The following is a 23,202-nucleotide window of genomic DNA, read 5'->3' on the forward strand; positions in this document are numbered from 1 at the left end:
ACTATGTCAAATAAATATATCCATTGATTTGACTGTTTGCTAACATAATGTGCTTCTCCTCGATAGCACCTTCTCTCTTTCTCTCTTACTCCTGAATTGTTTGAGCTGCCAAAAGATGAGTTCTTGGCATCACCCTTCACGACACTTAGAATTTCATAAACTTTGGCTGGGCAGGGTGGTTCATGCCTGTAATCCCAGCACTTTTGGAGGCCAAGGCGGGTGATCATCTAAGGTCAGGAGTTTGAGAACAGCCTGGTCGACATGGCAAAATGACATCTCTACTAAAAATACAAAAAACTAGCCGGGCGTATTGGCAGACGCCTGTAATCCCAGCTACTTGGGAGGCTGAGGGAGGAGATTTGCTTAAACCTAGGAGGTGGAGGTTGCAGTGAGCCGAGATCGTGCCATTGCAATCCAGCCTGGGCAACAGAGCGAGAATCGGTCTCAAAAAAAAAAAAAAAAAGAGAGAGAATTTTCTAGGCCTTACCTGTAATTGCAAACTGCAATTCAGAGTGCTATCGGAAAGTGTAATATAAAACGAAATATTGTTGAATATATAATAAGTAAATACATCAAAACAAATAATGTCTATAAATATTAGATTTAAGACAAAAGTAGGACATACCTCATTTATATTGAACAAAATTTGAAAAATTAAAATCCTTTGGAAACCTCTTTTTCTGTTTTTAAGTTCATCTCGTGAATTTATTGCAATACTATCTGGGGGACTTGTTATGACTTCTACATTATTTCACTAAATAAAATCTTTCCAAAGAACTCTATACATTAATCACAAATAGAGCATTTAAATTTTTAAACTTTTAAATGCTCTATTTGTGACTTTCAAGTCCAAGAATTCTATTTTATTTTATGCAAACAAAAATGAAAAAGCATGTGGAGGACAAGCATACACTATAACAGTTAATGATACATTTTACCCCATTTGTTACAATATCAATTTTATTTATTTTATTTGGCAGCATTAAGGAGAAATGGTGGAATGTTAATATCAAGTAGCAGAACACATTGTTTTTCAATTTTCTTGCTTCTTTGGAGCAGTCTACATAAATATAAATAACATGATCTTAAGTAATAGAATAAAGAATGATTCAAACATTTTATATGCCTACAGACTTTTAAGCTGTAAGCAAGAGTATAATCTTCAAAAGCTCTCTTACAGAAAGGAACACTGTCTTAACAATCAAATAATAAATTTGAATCTAATGTATATATTTAATTTGGCTTAAAATAAGTAATTACTAGGTAAACAATTAAGATAGCTATTATGGGAATATATACATATGCCTATTCAAAGTCACTGTCTTATCCAAAGCCAATAATGAACATGAATATAAGAATTATGTGTTTATAGACTTGATTCTATTGTTTTTACTATAATAGAAATATAGTGTTAGTGCTGTGCTACAAACTTCTTCTACCAAGAAACATCCTTTGTAGAAAACATACTTCATTCTGTCTATGAATTTTGACAAAATAGAGTCTCTTTAAAGAAACAGATTGTGAATAAATGGCATTATAATTGCACTAAAAATTATATACTTTTATATCAACACAGGCTATAGCAAAAAAATTAACTGGCTAATAGTATGAAAGTATTACTTAGGATTATAGACTTTAGGGCAAAGCCAGAATTGAACACTATGTCATTTCACAAAAATATTTGGTAATCTATTGAAAATTCAACATTTTTTCTGGTTAATAAAACAAAAATATATTGTCATTGAAAAAAATTCTTTTAGGAGGATTCAAAGATAATCACAATGAATCTTGACGTGATCTTGTCCTACATATGGTGATACTGATCCTAGAGTTTAGCTTTTCTTCCTTCCCTTTCTTCCTTCTTCTTTTCTACCTTTCTTCCTGCCTGACTTTTCTCTGGCTTTCTTTTTCTCTCCTTCCATCTGTCCTCCCACCTTATAGTCTCCTGCTGTCTGTCTGCCTGTCTCTCCTGGTTATTTACTTGTCCTGTATTTCACACTTGCCTGTCTATTCCCTCTATTTCTAGAATTGGGAAACTGCACGGTGTATTTCATTGCCAGATGATTGATGGCGTATGTATTACTGCATTTTCACACTGATATAAAGAACTGCCCAAGACTGGTTAATTTTTGAAGGAAAGAGGTTCGATTGATTCACATAGTTCAGCATGGCTGGGGAGGCCTCAGGAAACTTACAATCATAGTGGAAAGTGAAGGGGAAGCAAAACACCTTCTTCACAATGCGACAGGAAGGAGAATGAAAGCAGGAGGAACTGTCAAACACAAAAAAAATTAGATCTCATGAGAACTCATTCACTATCACAAGAACAGCATGGGGGGAAACTGCCTCAATGATTCAGTTACATCCACCTGGTCTTCCCCTTGACATATGGGGATTATGAGGATTATGGGAATAACAATTGTATTAGTCTATTTTCATACTGTAAAGACATACCCAAGACTGGGAAGAAAAAGAGGTTTAATTGGACTTACAGTTCCACATGGCTGGGAAGGCTTCAGAAACATGGTGGGAGGTGAAAGGCACTTCTTTCATGGCAGCAGCAAGAGAAAATGAGGAAGAAGCAAAAGCAGAAACCCCGATAAACCTATAAGATCTCATAAGACTTATTCACTATCATGAGAATAGCATGGGAAAGACCGGCCCCTATGATTTAATTACCTACCCCTAAGTCTCTCCCACAATATATGGGAATTCTGGAAGATACAATTCAAGTGGAGTTTTGGGTGGGGACACAGCAAACCATATCATTCCACCCCTGGCCCCTCCAAATCTCCTGTCCTCACATTTCAAAATCAATCATCCCTTCCCAACAGTCCCCAAAACTCTTCACTCATTTCAGCATTAACCCAGAAGTTCACAGTCCAAAGTCTCATCCAAGACAAGGAAAGTCCCTTCTGCCTATGAGCTGGTAAAATCAAAAGCAAGTGAGTTACTTCCTAGATACAATGGGAGTACAGGTATTGGGTATATACAGCCATTCCAAATCGGAGAAACTGATCAAAACAAAGGGGTTATAGGGCCCATGAAAGTGTGAAATCCAGCAGGGCAGTCAAATTTTAAAGCTCCAAAATGATCTGCCTTGACTCCAGGTCTCACATCCATGTCACGCTATGCAAGAGATGGGTTCCTATGGTCTTGGGCAGCTCCACCCCTGTGGTTTTGCAGGGTACAGCCTCCATCCCAGCTGCCTTCATGGGCTGGCATTTAGTGCCTGTGGTTTTTCCAGGTGATGGTGCAAGCTGTTGGTGGATCTACCATTCTGGGGTCTGGAGGATGGTGGCTGTCTTCTCATAGCTCCACTAGGCAGTGCCCAAGTAGGGACTCTGTGTGGGGGCTCTGACCCCACATTTCCCTTCCACACTGCCCTCACAGTTCTCCATGAGGGCCCCATCCCTGCAGCAAACTTTTGCCTGGACATCCAAGCATTTCCATACATCTTCTGACATCTAGGTGGAGACTCCTAAACCTCCATTCTTGACTTCTGTGTACCCCCAGGCTTAACATCACGTGGAAGCTGCCAGGGCTTGAGACTTCTACCCTCTGAAGTCACAGCTTGAGCTGTACTTTGGCCTCTGTCAGCCAAGGCTGGAGCAGCTGAGACACAAGGCACCAAGTTCCTAGGCTGCAAACAGCATGGGGATCCTCAGTCCAGCCCATGAAACCACTTTTTCCTCCTGGGCCTCTGGGCATGTGATGACAGCAGCTGCTGTGAAGGTCTCTGAAATGGCCGGGAGACATTTTGTCCATGGTCCTGGAGATTAACATTAGGCTCCTTGCTACTTGTGCAAATTTCTGCAGCTGGCTTGAATTTCTCCCCGGAAAATGTTTTTTTTTTTTTTTCTATTGCATAGTCAGGATGCAAATTTTCCAAACGTTGTCCTCTGTTTCCCTTATAAAACTGAATGCCTTTAATAGCACCCAAGTCACCTCTTGAACACTTTGCTGCTTAGAAATTTCTTCTGCCAGTACCTAAATCATCTCTCTCAAGTTCAAAGTTCCACAAATCTCTGGGGCAGGGACAAAATGCCACCAGTCTGTTTGCTAAAACATAACAAGAGTCACCTTTGCTCCAGTTCCCAACAAGTTTCTCATCTCCATCTGAAACCACCTGAATTTCAACCTGGATTTCATTGTCCATATCACAGAATTTTGTTCAAAGCCATTCTACAAGTCTCTAGGAAGTTCCAAACATTCCCACATTTTCCTGTCTTCTTCTAAGCCCCTCAAACTGTTCCAGCCTCTACCTGTTACCCAGTTCCAATATCACTTCCACATTTTCGGGTATGTTTTCAGCAGTACCCAACTCTACTGGTAACAATTTACTGTGTTAGTTCATTTTTATGCTGCCAATAAAGACATGCCTGAGACTGGAAAGACAAAGAGGTTTAATTAGACTTACACTTACACATGGCTGGGAAGTCCTCAGAATCATGGCAGGAGGCGAAAGGCACTCCTTACATGGCAATTGCAAGAGAAAATGAGGAAGAAGCAAAAGCATAAACCTCTGATAAGCCTATCAGATTTTGTGAGACTTATTCACTATCACAAAATTAGCATGGGAAGACCGGCCCCGATGATTCAATTATCTCCTCCTGGGTCCCTCCCACAACATGCCAGGATTCTGGGAGATAAAATTCAAGCTGAGATTTGGGTAGGGACACAGCCAAACCATATCAACAATTCAAGATGAAATTTTGCATGGAACACAGCCAAACCATAGTAGCTTCCTACTAACTCCTGACAACAAGAAGCACTGGCAAAAGATCAAATGGCAAAAGGAAGAGAGGAGATACAATCTTCTGGTTCTGATATGTGACCTTTGCCACCAATACCAGGAATCTGCTAACATTATAACTTGAGGGGCTGGGGATGGGGTGGGGAGAGAAGAGAGGAGACATCTGGCCTTTGGGTGGTTCAAGTTTTGGCTGAAGTTGCACCACTTCAGGGGATCCAAAACCAATCACAATAACATCTCCAACATTACAGCCATAGATGTAGCTTTGTAGCCCTCATCACAGGAGCATCTGCAGTTTCTCACCACTGGCCTCACCATTTTCTCCTGTCTGATATTCCAGGCCCCCCACCTGGTCTACCCCATCCCTCTCCCTTCATCTTTTCTATCCTTATACCACTTTGTAAACAGTTACCTGTAATAAACTGGTTTTCTTTGAAATGTCTAGACTTGTTTCTGTTTCACTCATGTTGCCTATTTGTCTATCTGTGTCTATCCTTCTGTCTATCTATCTATTTATTCATCCCTCTATCCATCTATTCACCTCTTTATCATCACTTAGTCCATCACATCTGTCTTCCTTTTATCTGTATATTATCTCATGCATCATAGAAATACATAAATATGGTGTGTACAATGTTTTATAAATGTTTATGTTCATATGACAACATATTGTGGATATCTTTACATGTCAACCTCTATAAAATACATTTATGATATGCATTTTAAGTAATTTATTTGACCAATCTTTTAGCTGTTTCCAAGGTTTCTCTTATTATAGATAATATCACAGTTGTATAGGTAATTTTTGCACACATAGTTATTTATTGCTAATATCCTAGAGCAGAAATTATTGTGTCAACATTGACATATTTTTCTACAAAGGATTACATCATAGTTACACTTCTCCCTGTAGTAAATTACAGTGACTGTTTCTCTCAAACTCTGGTCTCAAATATTTTTTATATTGTATTCTGAGAGTTGTATTGGTAAAAATTTTATTGTTTTGATCTCCAATGAGGCAGACTATATCCATCATTTATATTTCTTTTTTTTTAATTGCCTAGGATGATTATTGCTCACTATTTTACTAGAATATTTATTTTTCTTATTTAAACTTTTAAATTTATCTCTAAATAAGGCTAGTGCACATTACAAGAGTTATTTTAGGTATAAATTTTAAACTATTATGTATTTACATTCACCTTTCTTTTTATAATGATTTTGCCTCTTCTTATCAGACTCAAAAGACCTTTTCTAATACACATCTGCAGAGACCTACAAATATATTTTATTCTCATTAATACCACCGTTAATCTGTTCTACTAAAGTCAGAAGTAATGAGTTCATGTTTGAAAAATTCCCTCTCCTTATATATCAAGTTGTGTTGATTCTACTTCCAAAATGTTTCCCAAACCCACTTGTATAACAAGTCAATGGCCATCACCCTCCTCCACACTATATTCTAGCCCTAGAAATTATGCAATTGCCTTCAAGCTGGTCTTTCCAGTTTCACTCTTACTTTCAAAATCCATTATCCACATTCTGAGTAATTATTTTACAAATATAAATGGAATTAATGTCTCCTGCCTGAAACCCTGTAAGTGTTCACCTTTTCTTAGAATTAAACCTAAACCCTTCCTATGTTTGGCCTGGGCTTCCAACATCTCCAAGCTCATTGGATAACACAGGCATCAGTCATTAACTTCATATCACAATGGCTGTATTAGTTTGGTCTCATGCTACTATGAAGAAATACCTGAGACTGAGTAATTTATAAAGAAAAGAGATTCAATCGACTCACAATTCCACATGACTGGGGATGCCTCGGAAAACCTATAATCATAGGGGAAGGCACCTCTTCACAGGGTGGCAGGAAAGAAGTGCAGAGTGAAGCAGGGAAAAGCCTCTTATAAAACCATCAGATGTCGTGAGAACTCACTCACTATCATGAGAACAGCATGGGGGATCTGCCCCTCACATATGTCCTCACATTTCAAAACACAATCATGTCCTTCCAACAGTCCCCCAAAGTCTTATCTCATTCCAGGATTAACCCAAAAGTCCAAGTTCAAAGTTTCATTTGACACACGGCAAGTCCCTTCTGCCTATGAGCCTGTAAGATCAAAAACAAGTTAGTTCCTTCTTAGATATAATGGGAATACAGGCATTGGTTATACATCCATTCTAAATGGGAGAACTTGGCCAAAACAAAGGGGCTAAAAGCCCCATGCAAGTCCAAAATCCAATAGGGCATTTATTAAACTTTAAAGTCACAAAACGATCTCCTTTGACTCCATGTCTCACTCCAGGTCATGCTGATGTAAGAGGTGGACTCCGATGGCCTTGGGTAGCTCTGTCCCTATGGCTAGGCAGGGTACAGTCCCCCTCCCAGGTGCTTCCATGGCTGGTGCTGAGTGTCTGTGACTTTTCCAGACACATGTTGCAAGTTGTCTGTGGATCTACCATTGTGGGGTCTGTCTGGAGGATAGTGGACCTATTCTTACATCTCCACTAGGCAGTGCCCCAGTGGGGACTCTGTGTGGGGGCTCAGACCCCCCATTTCCTCTTCTGTACTGCCTTAGCAAAGTTCTCCATGAGGGCTCTGCTCCTGTAGCCGACATCTGCATGGACATCCAGGCATTTTTCTAGATCCTCTGAAATCTAGATGGAGGTTCCCAAACCTCAATTCTTGACTTCTGTGCACCCACAGGCTCAAAACCAGATGGAAGCCACCATGGCCTGAGGCTTGCACACTCTGAAGCAATGGCCTGAACTATATCTTGGACCCTTTTAGCCATGGCTGGAGTGGCTGGGATGCAGGGCACCAAGTCCCAAGGCTGGACACAGCAGAGGGGACCTGGACCAGCCCAGGAAACCATTATTTCTTCTAGGCCTCCGGGCCTTTGATGGGAGGGGCTGCTGCAAAGGTCTTTGATGTGCCTTGGGGACATTTTCCCCATTGTCTTGGAGATTAACATTCAGCTCCCTTGTTATTTATGCAAATTTCTGCAGAAGGCTTGAATATCTCCCCAGAAAATGTGTTTTTCTTTTCTATTACATCATCAGGCTGCATATTTTCCAACCTTTTATACTCTACTTCCTCTTGAATGCTTTGCTGTTTATAAATTTATTCTGCAAGATACCCTAAATCACCTCTCTCAAGTTCAAGTTTCCACAGATCTCTAGAGCAGGGGCAAAATACTGCCCGTCCCTTCGCTAAAGCATAGCAAGAGTCACCTTTGTTCCAGTTCCCAACAATTTCCTCATCTCCATGCGAGACCATCTCAGCCTGGACTTCATTGTCTACATCACTATCAGTACTTTGGTAAAGTTATTCAACAAGCCTCTAGGAAGTTCCAAACATTCCCGTATCTTCTTCTCTTCTGAGCCCTTCAAGTCTCTAGGAAGTTCCTAACTTTCCCACATTTTCCTGTCTTCTTCTTAGTCCTCCAAACTGTTCCAATCTCTGCCTGTGACCCAGTTCCAAACTTGCTTCTACATTTTTGGGTATCCTTATAGCAGTGTCCCACTCTCTCAGTACCAATTTGCTGTATTAGTCCATTATCAGACTGCTATGAAGAAATGCCTGACACTGGGTAATTTATAAATAAAATAAGTTTAATTGAATCACAGTTCTGCATGGCTTAGGAGCCCTCAGGAAACGTACAATCATGGCAGAAGGCACCTCTTCACAGTGTGGTAGGAGAAAGAAGTGCATAGCAAAGTGGGGGAAAGCCCCTTATAAAACCATCAGATCTCTTGAGAACTCACAATTTTGAGAACATCATGGGGGAACTGCCCCCATGACCTAATCACCTCCCACGAGGTCCCTCCCTCAACACCTGGAGTTACAATTTAGATTACAATTCAACATGAGATCTGGATAGGGGCCCAGAGCCAGAACATATCACTGGCTTACTTCTGTTACTTCCCAGAAAACACTAGTCTCTTTGTCACATTAAGACTCCTCTTTAGTTATTCCTTTTCCTGTTAATATTCTTCTCCAGCTTCTCACAATCTAAACTTCTCCTTTTCAGCTTAACCTGTAAGACCTGCCAGCTTTTCTCTATTACATAAGCCCTTTAATTTCCTTAATAAAAACTTGATTCATTTACTCTTTCTTTTATGTGTGTACTATTTATCTTCCTCATAAGACTGTAAGTAGATTGTATGATCTTTGAGGGTAGAAATTCAAACTATGTTGTTCACTATGGTATTGTAATCTTATCATAGTGCCTGTCATAAAGTAGATGATAAGTAAATGAGTATTTGCCTAAAGAAGGAGAAAAAAATGAGTGAATCTAAATTTTTCAAATGAAGAAATTGAAGCCTAGAGAATTAAAATTTTGTCTTCGTAATGTTAAGCCATTGTTTTCTCATTAACTTAATATATATGTGTGTTTTAAACATGTCTGTTATTATTGCAAAGAAAGTATATGTTCCCCATAGCTTCAGAAGGCAAATTTTTTTAAATCTAGATATCACATAAGGGCCCTGTCAATTGTATTCAGATATAGTAAGTTAGAATCTCTTCTCATATATGGTCTTATAAGTTACATTGATGACTTCAAGCTTCACACTAAGGATGACAAGTCACCCAGTTGTTTTGTTGGAAAACAATGTGATTGGATATGCTCAAATGAAAATATACTTTTATCTTGTGGGACATTGGACTAGATGACCTCTGAGATTTAGCCAAAACTATGGTCCATGATTATGTGACTTTAACTTTTAAATGTTCAGTTAATATTATTTTAATATTCAACTTGGGGAAATTAACAACAATGATTGTGTTTCTGTTTTCTGATAGAATACTCTGTTTGCAGGCAAATAGCATAAGTCCCAAATGGGGTCTTTGAAACTGTGTCATGTTTTTAAAACTTGTATTAGCATGTCTAAAATACAGCAAGTTTCTCACAAAGACTTTGACAGACTCATTTGAAATTCTAATCCATGAAACATATTGCACCATGTGATAGGGAAGTGTACCATATATTTTTGCCCATTTTTTAGAACATGTGTGTAAAAATATATCACGTATAAAATTTAGTATGTCTATTGCATATTAGATTGTATACAAAGAAAAGCAATAAAATATGCAAAAGTATGCAGAAGATTTTACTTAAATAATGAACTGAACTCTTTCCTCTTCTAGATCTTGGTGTGGATGGCTTTTGTGTGTGTATCACCAACGGCTTCTCATCTCAGAAGTCTTTGGCACTCTCATCCAAGAATGATCCTACTCTCCATAGGTCACCCTCTATCATATTATTCATTTTTATTATGTTTATGAAACTATTTTCTACTTCAAGATATTTGTTTATCTTTCTCCCCTTGTAGCATGTAAATTCAATGAGAGCATTGACTTCATCTGTTGTTTCCATTATATAATCCTAATACTTAAAGTTGTTCTTCCTGATTCACAAGAATATATTGGTGAACAAATGAAAGACCAAATCAACAGTTATGTTAAGTTATAAAATCTCATTTCAAATCTTACTTTTGCCACTTATTAGTTATAAGGCTTTGATCAAACCACTTAACCACCCTAGGCCTGGGGATTCCCACTTAACTTAAAGCAAAATTCCTTCACAGTATTGTTTTAGTGCTAAAATAAAATAATACATATAAAAATACATGTCAAACAGTAACAAATAAAATTTAAGAAATCATGACTGATATCTTACTGAAGAAAAATCATTTACTATTAAGAAAATTTCTGAAATAATTTGAAACAAATTAAGTAAATAATTATTCAAATCACACATAAACAAAGTGTATAGAAAAATTAATTCAAATGTATTCTGCCATTCACATTTCACTGTTTCACAATGGGGCTGAGCATCTCCACTGACAAAATAAACATAAACTAGGATATTCAAGCCTAAAATTGAAATTGGCACCTGGGGACAATGATATCATTGATATATGTCATTTTTCCATTCTTTATTTAATTATTATTATTTTTTAAATTATACTTTAAGTTCTAGGGTACATGTGCACAATGTGCAGTTTTGTTACATGGGTATACATGTGCCATGTTGGTTTGCTGCACCCATCAACCCACCATTTACATAGGTATTTCTCCTAATGCTATCCCTCTCCCAGTCCCCCACCCCGCAACAGGCTCCAGTGTGTGATGTTCCCCGCCCTGTTTCCAAGTGTTCTCATTGCTCAACTCCCACCTATGAGTGAGAACATGCAGTGTTTGGTTTTCTGTCCTTGTGATAGTTTGCTGAGAATGATGGTTTCCAGTTTTATCCATGTCCCTGCAAATGACATTAATTCATCGTTTTTTATGGCTGCATAGTAATCCATGGTGTATATGTGCCACATTTTCTTAATCCAGTCTATCATTGATGGACATTTGGCTTGGTTCCAAGTCTTTGCTATTGTGTATACTGCCGCAATAAACCTAAGTGTGCATGTGTCTTTATAGTAGCATGATTTACAATCCTTTGGGTATATACCCAGTAATGGTATTGCTGGGTAAAAGGGTATTTCTGGTTCTAGATCCTTAAAGAATCACCACACTGTCTTCCACAATGGTTGAAATAATTTACACTCCCACCAACAGTCTAAAAGTGTTCCTATTTCTCCAATTCCTCTCCAACATCTGTTGTTTCTTGACTTTTTAATGATCGTCATCCTAACTGGTATGACATGGTATCTCATTGTGGTTTTGATTTGCATTTCTCTGATGAAGAGTGATGATGAGCATTTTTTCATGTGTCTGTTGGCTGCATGCATGTCTCCTTTTGAGAAGTGTCTGTTCATATCCTTTGCCCATTTTTTGATGGAGTTGTTTTTCTCTTATAAATTTGTTTAAGTTTTTTGTAGATTCTGGATATTAGCCTTTGTCAGAGGGGTAGATTGCAAAAATTTTCTCCCATTCTGTAGGTTGCCTGTTCACTCTGATGGTAGTTTCTTTTGCTGTGCAGAAGCTCTTTAGTGTAATTAGATACCATTGGTCTATTTTGGCTTTTGTTGCCATTGCTTTTGGTGTTTTAGTCATGAAGTCTTTGCCCATGTCTATGTCCTGAATGGTATTGCCTAGGATTTCTTCTAGGGTTTTTATGGTTTTAGGTATAATATTTAAGTCTTCAATACATCTTGAATTAATTTTTGTATAAGGTGTAAGGAAGGGATCCAGTTTCAGCTTTCTACTTATGGCTAGCCAGTTTTCCCAGCACCATTTATTAAATAGGGAATCCTTTCCCCATTTCCTGTTTTTGCCAGGTATGTTAAAGATCAGATGGTTGTAGATGTGTGGCATTATTTCTGAGGCCTCTGTTCTGTTCCATTGATCTATATCTCTGTTTTAGTACCAGTACCATGCTGTTTTGGTTACTGTAGCCTTGTAGTATAGTTTAAAGTCAGATAGTGTGATGCCTCCAGCTTTGATCTTTTTGCTTAGGATTGTCTTGGCTATGCAGGGTCTTTTTTGGTTCCATATGAACTTTAAAGTAGTTTTCCCAATTCTGTGAAGAAAGTCATTGGTAGCTTGATGGGGATGGCATTGAATCTATAAATTACCTTGACCTGTATAGCCATTTTCACAATATTGATTCTTCCTATCCATGAGCATGGAATATTCTTCCATTTGTTTGTGTCCTCTTTTATTTTGTTGAGCAGTGGTTTGTAGTTCTCCTTGAAGAGGTCCTTCACATCCCTTGGAAGTTGGATTCCTAGGTACTTTATTCACTTTGTAGCAATTGTGAATGGGAGTTCACTCATGATTTGGCTCTCTGTTTGTCTGTTATTGATGTATAGGAATGGTTGTGATTTTTGCACATTGATTTTGTATCCTGAGATTTTGCTGAAGTTGCTTATCAGCTTAAGGAGATTTTGGGCTGAGACAATGGGGTTTTCTAAATATACAATCATGTCATCTGCAAACAGGGACAATTTGACTTCCTCTTTTCCTAATTAAATACCCTTTATTTCTTTCTCTGGCCTCATTGCCCTTGCCAGAACTAACAACATTATGTTGAATAGTGGTAGAGAGGGCATACTTGTCTTTTGCCAGTTTTCAAAGGGAATGCTTCCAGTTTTTGCACATTCAGTATGATATTAGCTGTGGGTTTGTCATAAATAACGCTTATTATTTTGAGATATGTTCCATCGATACCTAGTTTATTGAGAGTTTTTAGCATTAATGGCTATTGAATTTTGTCGAAGGCCTTTTCTGCATCTATTGAGATAATCATGTGGTTTTTGTCATTGGTTCTGTGTAGGGGTGGGTTGCCCCTCCACACCTGTGGGTGTTTCTCGTAAGGTGGAATGAGAGACTTAGGAAAGAAAAAGACACAGAGACAAAGTATAGAGAAAGAAATAAGGGGATCCGGGGAACCAGCGTTCAGCATATGGAGGATCCCGCCAGCCTCTGAGTTCCCTTAGTATTTATTGATCATTCGTGGGTGTTTCTCAAAGAGGGGGATGTGTCAGGGTCACAAGACAATTGTGGGGAGAGGGTCAGCAGACAAACACGTGAACAAAGGTCTTTGCATCATAGACAATGTAAAGGATTAAGTGCTGTGCTTTTAGATATGCATACACATAAACATCTCAATGCTTTACAAAGCAGTATTGCTGCCCGCAGGTCCCACCTCCAGCCCTAAGGCGGTTTTTCCCTATCTCAGTAGATGGAGCATACAATCGGGTTTTATAACGAGACATTCCATTGCCCAGGGACAGGCAGGAGACAGATGCCTTCCTCTTGTCTCAACTGCAAGAGGCATGCCTTCCTCTTATACTAATCCTCCTCAGCACAGACCCTTTACGGGTGTCGGGCTGGGGGACGGTCAGGTCTTTCCCTTCCCACGAGGCCATATTTCAGACTATCACATGGGGAGAAACCTTGGACAATACCTGGCTTTCCTAGGCAGAGGTCCCTGCAGCCTTCCGCAGTTTTTGTGTCCCTGGGTACTTGAGATGAGGGAGTGGTGATGACTCTTAAGGAGCATGCTGCCTTCAAGCATCTGTTTAACAAAGCACATCTTGCACCGCCCTTAATCCATTCATCTCTGAGTTGACACAGCACATGTTTCAGAGAGCATGGGGTTGGGGGTAAGGTCACAGAATCTCAAGGCAGAAGAATTTTTCTTAGTACATAACAAAATGGAGTCTCCTATGTCTACTTCTTTCTACACAGACACAGCAACAATCTGATCGCTCTTGCTTTTCCCCACATTTCCCCCTTTTCTTTTCGACAAAACCACCATCGTAATCATGGCCCGTTCTCGATGGTCGCTGTCTCTTTGGAGCTGTTGGTTACACCTGCAGACTAACAACAGACAAAACAGGCACACAAGGATTAATATGAGATTTATAATTGTAGTACTTCCGATGGTCTTAACCCAAGTGACAGGGTTAAGATTTGCGAGGCCATCAGCAACTCCTGCAATTGCCTCAGTTCCTGGCACCAAATTTAAATGGGTTTTTGATGCTTCGAAAATTTGTTCTTTTAACTTGGAAATGTCTAAAGTGAGATTATCTTCTCTTCCCTGTAGATGCCGTCTAACCATGTCCCAGTGATGCTCAGACTCATTATAAATTTGGGGTGTAATACAAAAGTCTGACATATTCCAGTCACACTGTAACTGGAAACGATGTTCTAAGCTCATGAGTCTGTCTCCCATCCAAATGACAGTTTGTCTAAGATCATTAATTTGATTTGCCAATTTTTGATCAATACTAGATTGTGAATTCCACAATCTTGTAGAATTTTTTTGCCAATCATTAACAAAGTTTACCGACTGAACAGAAGAGTGCAATGCAACTCCTGCTACAGCAGCCATAGCTGTGACTGCAATTAATCCCATAATCACTGCAATTAAAGTAAAAATGAATCTTTTGGATCTATTTAAAACACCTTTTAATACTTCAGTCAAAATATGGATGGATGGCGAGGCCTCCCACGGTCGGTCCATGGACACAGGGATCCACACGCCCTCTCTTGCTCTCACCAGCAGAATACGGTGTTGCCAATTAAAAGTTGAATCAATGCAAGTAAGCAATCTACAATTTTCACAGGTTATAGTCTGGGAGTCTGGTTTAATAGCTATATTTCCTACAACTAGCATATAAGGGGGCTTTACGCAACTTTGTAAAGGAACCGTTAGACTGGAATTTAGGTCGATAGTATAAAATGGCTTATGATCTCTTGTTTCTAAAGTCTGATTTCCAGACCAAATTCTAATGTGGTGTGAGGCCACAGTAAGCCTCCATAATTCTGGATGTTCAGGACCAGAAACAGGACTTATTATTTTTGGTCTTGGGGTAGAGATTCCTTTTTCTCCCCATTCCCAAGGGTAGAAAGACTGCAATTTTTTATGCTTATGTTTGTCTAAACTTTCTGTTAAGTCGCTATCAACAGCTGGACTCACTTGTGCACTTGGACACGACTGAGTTCATCCTGAGCAATTGTGGTAGAATTGACCTCGAGGTGCCCAATCTATAATAGTTCCAAATTCATTGTTTTGTAATATCACTGCACTATTGGCCACACATTCTTCCCAAACTAAAACTTCTGTATTTTTTGATTCTTTGGGAATTTCCTTGGGGCAAGGTTTCCCTTTAGGTCTAAATTTTAATGATCTTTGATAAGAAAAGTCTTGTAAATAATTTACCCGTGGCCTGAGTGACATCCCGCTTACCATGTGATAAGTGAATCTACTGATGGGACTGACAGTAGGTACTTCTACCAACCAATTTTGGACTGCAGGCATTAAACATCCTGGTGCTCTCCCTAGGCAAATAGGAGGATAACGATACCCAGTGGAAATATTTATCATCATCCCTTCTTCCTCAGGTTTGGCAGGGCAGCGATCATCTGTGGGGCCAGGAACCCATACACTATCATTAACATATACTTCTATAGGATTATCCATCCATGTGACTGCCCAAATTAAGGGCGGGAAAGGCACATAGGCCCAGTAGGTATAGTTAGCTGCAGCTGCTCCTGCAGGCATAGGGAGACTTACCACCATTGATACAATCATCAAGGCTGCAAGCAGCATACTCTCTGGGGTTTGTGTCACCTTTGTGTTCTCTAGACATTTTGTAGCTAACTGCGTCAGCTTCTTTAGTTGTGCCCAAGTCAGCGGCTCTGCCTTCTTGGTGGATGGCAACTTCATCTCTTCTTCTGACGTCACCATTTTGTTCATCTTGTGAGTCAACGGTGCTCGATTGCAGTGTCTCCGTCTCCGCGGAGGTGCTTTTCTTTGCATCTCCGATGGGTTCATTGTAGAACTTCAAATGTCTAGTGGGTATCCAAACAGGAAGCTGATTTTCTCCTGGTGAAACACAAGCAAAACCTCTCCCCCACGTTATCACCTTCCCTATTTCCCATGTCTTATTTTTATTATCTTTCCACCAAATTAGTTTTCCTTCATGTGGGCTGTTCTTTTAACCAGTAAGATGTTGTTCTGCAGAAGTAGTAGTCTGATTTCTATAAATGTTTAAAAAATTTAAAGTATAGAGTGCTAGATTAAGTTGCATCTGAGGAGTGGTACACTCCTTACTGTCTCCCCCTTCTTTTTGTTTAACTGAGTGTTGAGTGTTCTATTAGTTCTTTCAACTATGGCCTGTCCTTGGGAATTATAAGGAATTCCTGTTGTATGTGAAATTTTCCACTGACTTAAGAATTTTTGGAAAGCTTTACTACAATATCCTGGTCCATTGTCAGTTTTGATTTTTTCTGGAACTCCCATTACAGCAAAACAAGACAATAAATGTTTTTTAACATGGGAAGTACTTTCTCCTGTTTGGCAAGTTGCCCATATGAAATGTGAATAAGTATCAACTGTTACATGAACATATGATAATCTTCCAAATGAAGGTACATGCGTGACATCCACTTGCCATAATGCATTAGGACACAGACCTCTGGGATTAACTCCTGCCTCTTGAGTGGGCAGGTGTAAGACTTGACACTGGGTGCAATGTTGTACAATATCTTTTGCCTGTTTCCATGTGACATCAAATTTGTTTTTTAATCCTGCTGCATTTACATGAGTCAAAGCATGAAGTTCTTGTGCTTTTATGAATGCAGATGATACCAGTAAGTCAGCTTGTTCATTTGCTTTAGTCAAAGGCCCTGGTAAATTAGTGTGTGCTCGAATATGAGTAATATAAAATGGGAAATTTCTTTTTCTTACAGTTTGTTGTAATAAATTGAATAGCTGGTTTAACTGATCATCCATGCTATATTTAATTAGAGCTGTCTCAACATCCCTTGTAGCCTGTACTACATATGCAGAATCTGATATAATATTGATAGGTTGGTCAAAATCTTGTAACACTTTAATGACTGCAACCAACTCTGCTCTTTGAGCTGATTGATATGGAGTTTTGATTACTCATTCTTTCGGCCCTGTGTAAGCTGCTTTTCCATTGCTGGAACCATCAGTAAATATTGTTAGAGCATTTTCTAAAGGTTCATGTCTGGTAATTTTAGGTAGAATCCAAGTAGTCAATTTTAAGAACTGGAAGATCTTTGTTTTTGGGTAATGATTATCAATAATTCCCACAAAATTAGCAAGACCAATCTGCCATGCACCAGAATTGATAAAGGCTTGTCTAACTTGTTCCTTGGTTAAAGGGACAACTATTTTGTCTGGGTCATTTCCACATAATTTTATTATTCGTAATCTTGTCTGACCAATTAATGTAGCTATTTGATCCAAGTACAATGTAAAAGTCTTAACTGTACTGTGAGGAAGGAATGACCACTCCACAAGATCAGTATTTTGAATAATGATGCCTGTTGGAGAATGTGCAGTGGCAAAAATCAAAAGTTGGAGTGGGGCTAAGGGATCTATTCTATTTATTTGCACTGACTGAATTTTTTCTTCCACTAATTTAATTTCTTTTGTTGCCTCTGGGGTTAACATTCTTTTACTATTTAAGTCTGAGTCTCCTCTTAAGATAGAGAACAAATTTGACATGGCATAAGTAGGAATGCCTAGAGTTGGCCGAATCCAATTAATATCTCCCAGCAATTTTTGAAAATCATTTAGTGTTTTTAATGTGTATTTTCTTATTTCTATTTTTTGTGGCTTAATTTTTCTATTTTCTATCTGCATCCCTAAATAATGAAAAGGAGTAGAGGTTTGGATCTTATCAGATGCTATTGCCAGTCCTGCGTTGGCAACCTCTGCTTGCAGAAATGTATAACAGTCAATTAATTTATCTTTCGTTTCTGCAGCACATAAAATATCATCAATATAATGAATAATATAACAGTCTGAAAACTTGTCTCTAACTGGTTGAAGAGCTCGACCTACAAAAGTCTGACAAATAGTTGGACTATTAAGCATTCCCTGAGGTAACACTTTCCACTGAAACCTGGTGGCTGGTTCTTTATTATTTATGGCTAGTATAGTAAAGGCAAATTTTTCGCAATCCTGCTCCGCCAGAGGGATGGTAAAAAAGCAATCCTTTAGATCAATTATAATTAAAGGCCAATCTTTTGGGATCATGGCCGGAGAGGGCAACCCAGATTGGAGAGGCCCCATGGGTTGAATTATGGCGTTTACGGCCCTTAAGTCAGTTAACATACGCCATTTGCCTGATTTCTTCTGAATCACAAACACAGGAGAATTCCAAGGCGAGAATGAAGGCTCAATATGACCCTTTTCTAACTGTTCATTTGCTAATAAATGTAAAGCCTCCAGTTTTTGTTTTGGTAGCGGCCACTGATTTACCCACACCGGTTTTTCTGTTTTCCAAGTTAATGGTATGGGTTTAGGAGGCTCTACAGTGGCCGCCCCTAAAAAGGATACCCTATTCCTTCTCTTTTTTGATTTATTTTAGCCTCAACTGGAACTTTAATGCCATCTTCATTTTTCCCTAGTCCCTTTCCTGGTATATATCCCATCTTGGTCATGATTTTTTGACTCGTGGGGCTATATAATGGAGCGGGCATGGTGATTTCCACACCCCATTGTTGTAATAAATCTTGACCCCACAGATTAAGAGGAATTGAAGTAATCATTGGCTGAACAGTACTTTCTTGATTATCTGGCCCTAAGCAATGTAAAATCTCAGTACTTTGATACACTTCTGAGGCTGTGCCTATGCCGACAAGTCCTGTAACAGCCTTTTGTTTAGGCCAATTTTTTGGCCACTGATTTAAAGCAATGATAGAGACATCTGCTTCAGTGTCTACCAACCCTTCAAACTGTTTTCCTTGAATAATGGCCTTACACACAGGTCTGTTCTCTGAGACCTGACTTGCCCAATATGCAGCCTTTCCTGTCGGATCAGTGCTTCCAAACTCTCCTATTCTTTTTATTTCACTATTTCCACCCTTAATGTATGGCAGGAGTAATAATTGAGCAATCCTGTCTCCTGGACTGGCACTCCAAGGAACTGAAGAGCTAATAACCAATTGAATTTCACCTTTATAGTCTGTATCTACCACACTAGTATGAATTTGAACTCCTTTTAGATTTAGACTTGATCTTCCCAAGATTAGTCCTACAGTCCCCTCAGGCAGTGGGCCATATACCCCTGTGGGGATTTTTTGTGGGGGCTCCCCTGGAAGCAGAGAGACTGCTTGTATAGTACATAAATCTACTGCTGCACTGCCGCTTGTGGCGGGGGACAATTGTTGTATTGTGGTAACTGGCTTATTCCCTGAAACACTTGGGACAGTGGGGGTTGTTGTCCCTGAAAACCCTGAGGAACAAATGGCTGAATTGGGAATGCCCCAGTTTGTTGTGGGGCCTGAGGCTGGCCCCTTTGCTCATTTCCCGACAATGGTTGCCCATTTTTATCAAATTTAGAACAACATTGACTAGCCCAATGTTTTCCTTTTTTACATCTTGGACATAAGTCAGCTGGCTCTCTACCTGTTGTGGTAGTAGCTTGAATAGTTATATTCTGTTTATTTAAGACTGGGCAGTTCTTTTTTAAGTGACCAATTTGACCACAATTATATCATTTTCCTCCAAATGTTCTAACTTGTCCTCCTAAAACAACTCCTGTTATTGCTTGAGCCATAAGCATAGCTTTATGCATAGCTCCTCCGATTCCATCACAGGCTTTTACATATTCTGAGATTACATCTGATCCTGCAGGAACCTTTGCTTTTAATGGCTTAATGGCTGATTGACACTCAAGATTGGCGTTTTCATATGCCATCAACTCCACTATGACCTTATGGGCTTTTTCATTGGCAATTGACTTTTGAGCAACATCTTGGAGCCTTGCCACAAAATCAAGGTAGGGCTCTTTCGAACCTTGTCTTACTGTATTAAATGAGGGGCAGGCGCTTCCTGGGTCTTGGATTTTTTCCCAGGCTCTAAGGCAGATAGCTCTAACTTGCTCAATGGCCTCATTTTGCATTAACGCTTGTTGACTAATAGTACTCCAATTTTGACCTGTTCCTAATAGTTGATCTGCATCTATGTTAACTGGAGGATTGGCAGCCCTATTTCTTCGGACCTGTTCTTGTACCCCATCAATCCACCAAGTCTTAAATTGTAAAAATAGAGAGGGTGAGAGAGACGATTTTGCCAGAATCTCCCAATCATAAGGAATGAGTCTATGTCCATGAGCAATGGAATCTAATAATGTCCTCATATAAGGGGAGTTGGGTCCATACTGTTTTACTCCCTCTTTCATATCTTTTAGCATTTTTATCGAAAAAGACTTGTATCTGGCCTCAACTGTGAGAGGCTCTCCCTCTTGGGCTCCTTCTCCAGGTGGCATCGGTTCTAACGTTACTGGGAATTGCCATGCCTCAGTATCTCCTTCCTTTCTTGATTTATCAATAATTTCATGTAATTCACTACCCTGTCTACTAGGTGGTGCCATAGGATTAAGTCTCCTAGTGGGTGGCTGAGGGTATGGCACCCTGCCCTGTGGTGCTGGGGGTATTCCTGGATATCCATACTGACTTTCTGGGGGTGGCCGATACTGAAGTTCAGCCGGCAGCCAGTATTGATAGGCTACTGGCGGTTGGGTCTTATTTTCTTTAACCTGCGTTTGAGGTTGTAATGTTACAGGCACCTGACCTGCTGGAAGAGGACTTGTGCCTCATGGTTTAGACTCTAATGGCCCCACTAATTCGGGACCTTTTCCTTCTAATTTTAACGTTTCAGGATATATCACCTCCTGTAATTGATTATAGTCAACATTTTGTGTTGACTGAGCCATCACCGGCTCTGCTACATATTCGCAATGTAAACCTTCCATTTCTTTCTGGGATTTTTTCCTTGTCTTTTCATTACAATCTATTAAACAGCTTCCAGGGGCATCAGAAACTGAAACACTATCTTCTTCTGTTTGAAATGGTTCTAAAGCTGCTTTAATAATGGCCCAATCATTCCATACTGTAAGTGGAATGATATTACCCTTCCTACCTGCTTGTTTTAGTTCCTTACCAATTCTTTTCCAATCTTTTAGATCTAAAGTTCCTTGTTCTGGAAACCATGGGCAAAATTGTTCTATTATTTGAAATAGCTTGATTAGATTTTTTGTAGATACTTTAACTCCCCCTCTTTTTAAAAGAATTTTAATAAAGCTGAGATAAGAGGCATATTTACTCTTAATTTTACTTTTAGTTTGCCCCATTATCACCCTAGCTTCTTCCAAGCGCACAAGCTTACCGAAAGGCTGACTGTAGACGTACTCGGGATCTCTCGTCGACTTGTCCTCAATGACCATGCTCGAGCGTACCTTCACCCTAGAGAAAAGCCTCCACGTTGGGCACCAGATGTAGGGGTGGGTTGCCCCTCCACACCTGTGGGTGTTTCTCGTAAAGGTGGAATGAGAGACTTAGGAAAGAAAAAGACACAGAGGCAAAGTATAGAGAAAGAAATAAGGGGACCTAGGGAACCAGCGTTCAGCATATGGAGGATCCCGCCAGCCTCTGAGTTCCCTTAGTATTTATTGATCATTCGTGGGTGTTTCTCAAAGAGGGGGATGTGTCAGGGTCACAAGACAATTGTGGGGAGAGGGTCAGCAGACAAACACGTGAACAAAGGTCTTTGCATCATAGACAATGTAAAGGATTAAGTGCTGTGCTTTTAGATATGCATACACATAAACATCTCAATGCTTTACAAAGCAGTATTGCTGCCTGCAGGTCCCACCTCCAGCCCTAAGGCAGTTTTTCCCTATCTCAGTAGATGGAGCATACAATCGGGTTTTATACTGAGACATTCCATTGCCCAGGGACAGGCAGGAGACAGATGCCTTCCTCTTGTCTCAACTGCAAGAGGCATGCCTTCCTCTTATACTAATCCTCCTCAGCACAGACCCTTTATGGGTGTCGGGCTGGGGGACAGTCAGGTCTTTCCCTTCCCACGAGGCCATATTTCAGACTATGAAACCTTGGACAATACCTGGCTTTCCTAGGCAGAGGTCCCTGCGGCCTTCCGCAGTTTTTGTGTCCCTGGGTACTTGAGATGAGGGAGTGGTGATGACTCTTAAGGAGCATGCTGCCTTCAAGCATCTGTTTAACAAAGCACATCTTGCACTGCCCTTAATCCATTCAACTCTGAGTTGACACAGCACATGTTTCAGAGAGCACGGGGTTGGGGGTAAGGTCACAGAATCTCAAGGCAGAAGAATTTTTCTTAGTACATAACAAAATGGAGTCTCCTATGTCTACTTCTTTCTACACAGACACAGTAACAATCTGATCTCTCTTGCTTTTCCCCACAGTTCTGTTTATATGATGGATTATGTTTATTGATTTGTGTATGTTAAACAAGACTTGCATCCCAGGGATGAAGCTGACTTGATCGTGGTGGATAACCTTTCTGATATGCTGCTGGATTCTGTTTGCCAGTATTTTATTGAGGATTTTCACATTGATGTTCATCAGGGATATTTGTCTAAAATTCTCTTTTTTTTGTTGTGTCTCTGCCGGGCTTTGGTGTCCGGATGATGCTGGCTTCACTAAATGAGTTAGGGAGGATTCCCTCTTTTTCTATTGATTGGAATAGTTTCAGAAGGAATGGTACCAGCTCCTCTTTGTACCTCTGGTAGAATTTGGCTGTGAATCCATCTAGTCCTGGACTTTGGTTAGTTGGTAGGCTATTAATTATTGCCTCAATTTCAGAGCCTGTTTTTGGTCTATTCAGAGATTCGACTTCTTCCTGGTTTAGTCTTGGGAGGGTGTATGTGTCCAGGAATTTATCCATTTCTTCTAGATTTTCTAGTTTATTTGTGTAGAGGTGTTTATAGTATTCTCTGATGGTCATTTGTATTTCTGTGAGATCAGTGGTGATACCCCTTTATCATTTTTTATTGCATCTGTTTGATTCTTCTCTCTTTTCTTCTTTATTAGTCTTACTAGAAATCTATCAATTTCGTTCATCTTTTCAAAAAACCAGCTTCTGGATTCATTGATTTTTTTGAAGGGTTTTATTGTGTCTCTATCTCTGTAAGTTGTGCTCTGATCTTAGTTATTTCTTGCCTTCTGCTAG

The 23,202-nt window shown here is 39.6% G+C and overlaps 3 annotated features.

Annotated features, from left to right (window-relative positions):
* Positions 13,212-13,948: an enhancer, noted in NCBI's record as "OCT4-NANOG-H3K27ac hESC enhancer chr5:30486983-30487719 (GRCh37/hg19 assembly coordinates)". NCBI's record gives its function as "activates a minimal SCP1, AML or CMV promoter by ChIP-STARR-seq in primed H9 embryonic stem cells {active_cell/tissue: H9 hESC(primed)}" and the evidence as "EXISTENCE:reporter gene assay evidence [ECO:0000049][PMID:30033119]".
* Positions 21,444-21,945: an enhancer, noted in NCBI's record as "NANOG-H3K27ac hESC enhancer chr5:30495215-30495716 (GRCh37/hg19 assembly coordinates)". NCBI's record gives its function as "activates a minimal SCP1, AML or CMV promoter by ChIP-STARR-seq in naive H9 embryonic stem cells {active_cell/tissue: H9 hESC(naive)}" and the evidence as "EXISTENCE:reporter gene assay evidence [ECO:0000049][PMID:30033119]".
* Positions 21,946-22,445: an enhancer, noted in NCBI's record as "NANOG-H3K27ac hESC enhancer chr5:30495717-30496216 (GRCh37/hg19 assembly coordinates)". NCBI's record gives its function as "activates a minimal SCP1, AML or CMV promoter by ChIP-STARR-seq in naive H9 embryonic stem cells {active_cell/tissue: H9 hESC(naive)}" and the evidence as "EXISTENCE:reporter gene assay evidence [ECO:0000049][PMID:30033119]".

Source organism: Homo sapiens, chromosome 5 (assembly GCF_000001405.40).
Source record: "Homo sapiens chromosome 5, GRCh38.p14 Primary Assembly".
NCBI lineage: Eukaryota > Metazoa > Chordata > Mammalia > Primates > Hominidae > Homo > Homo sapiens.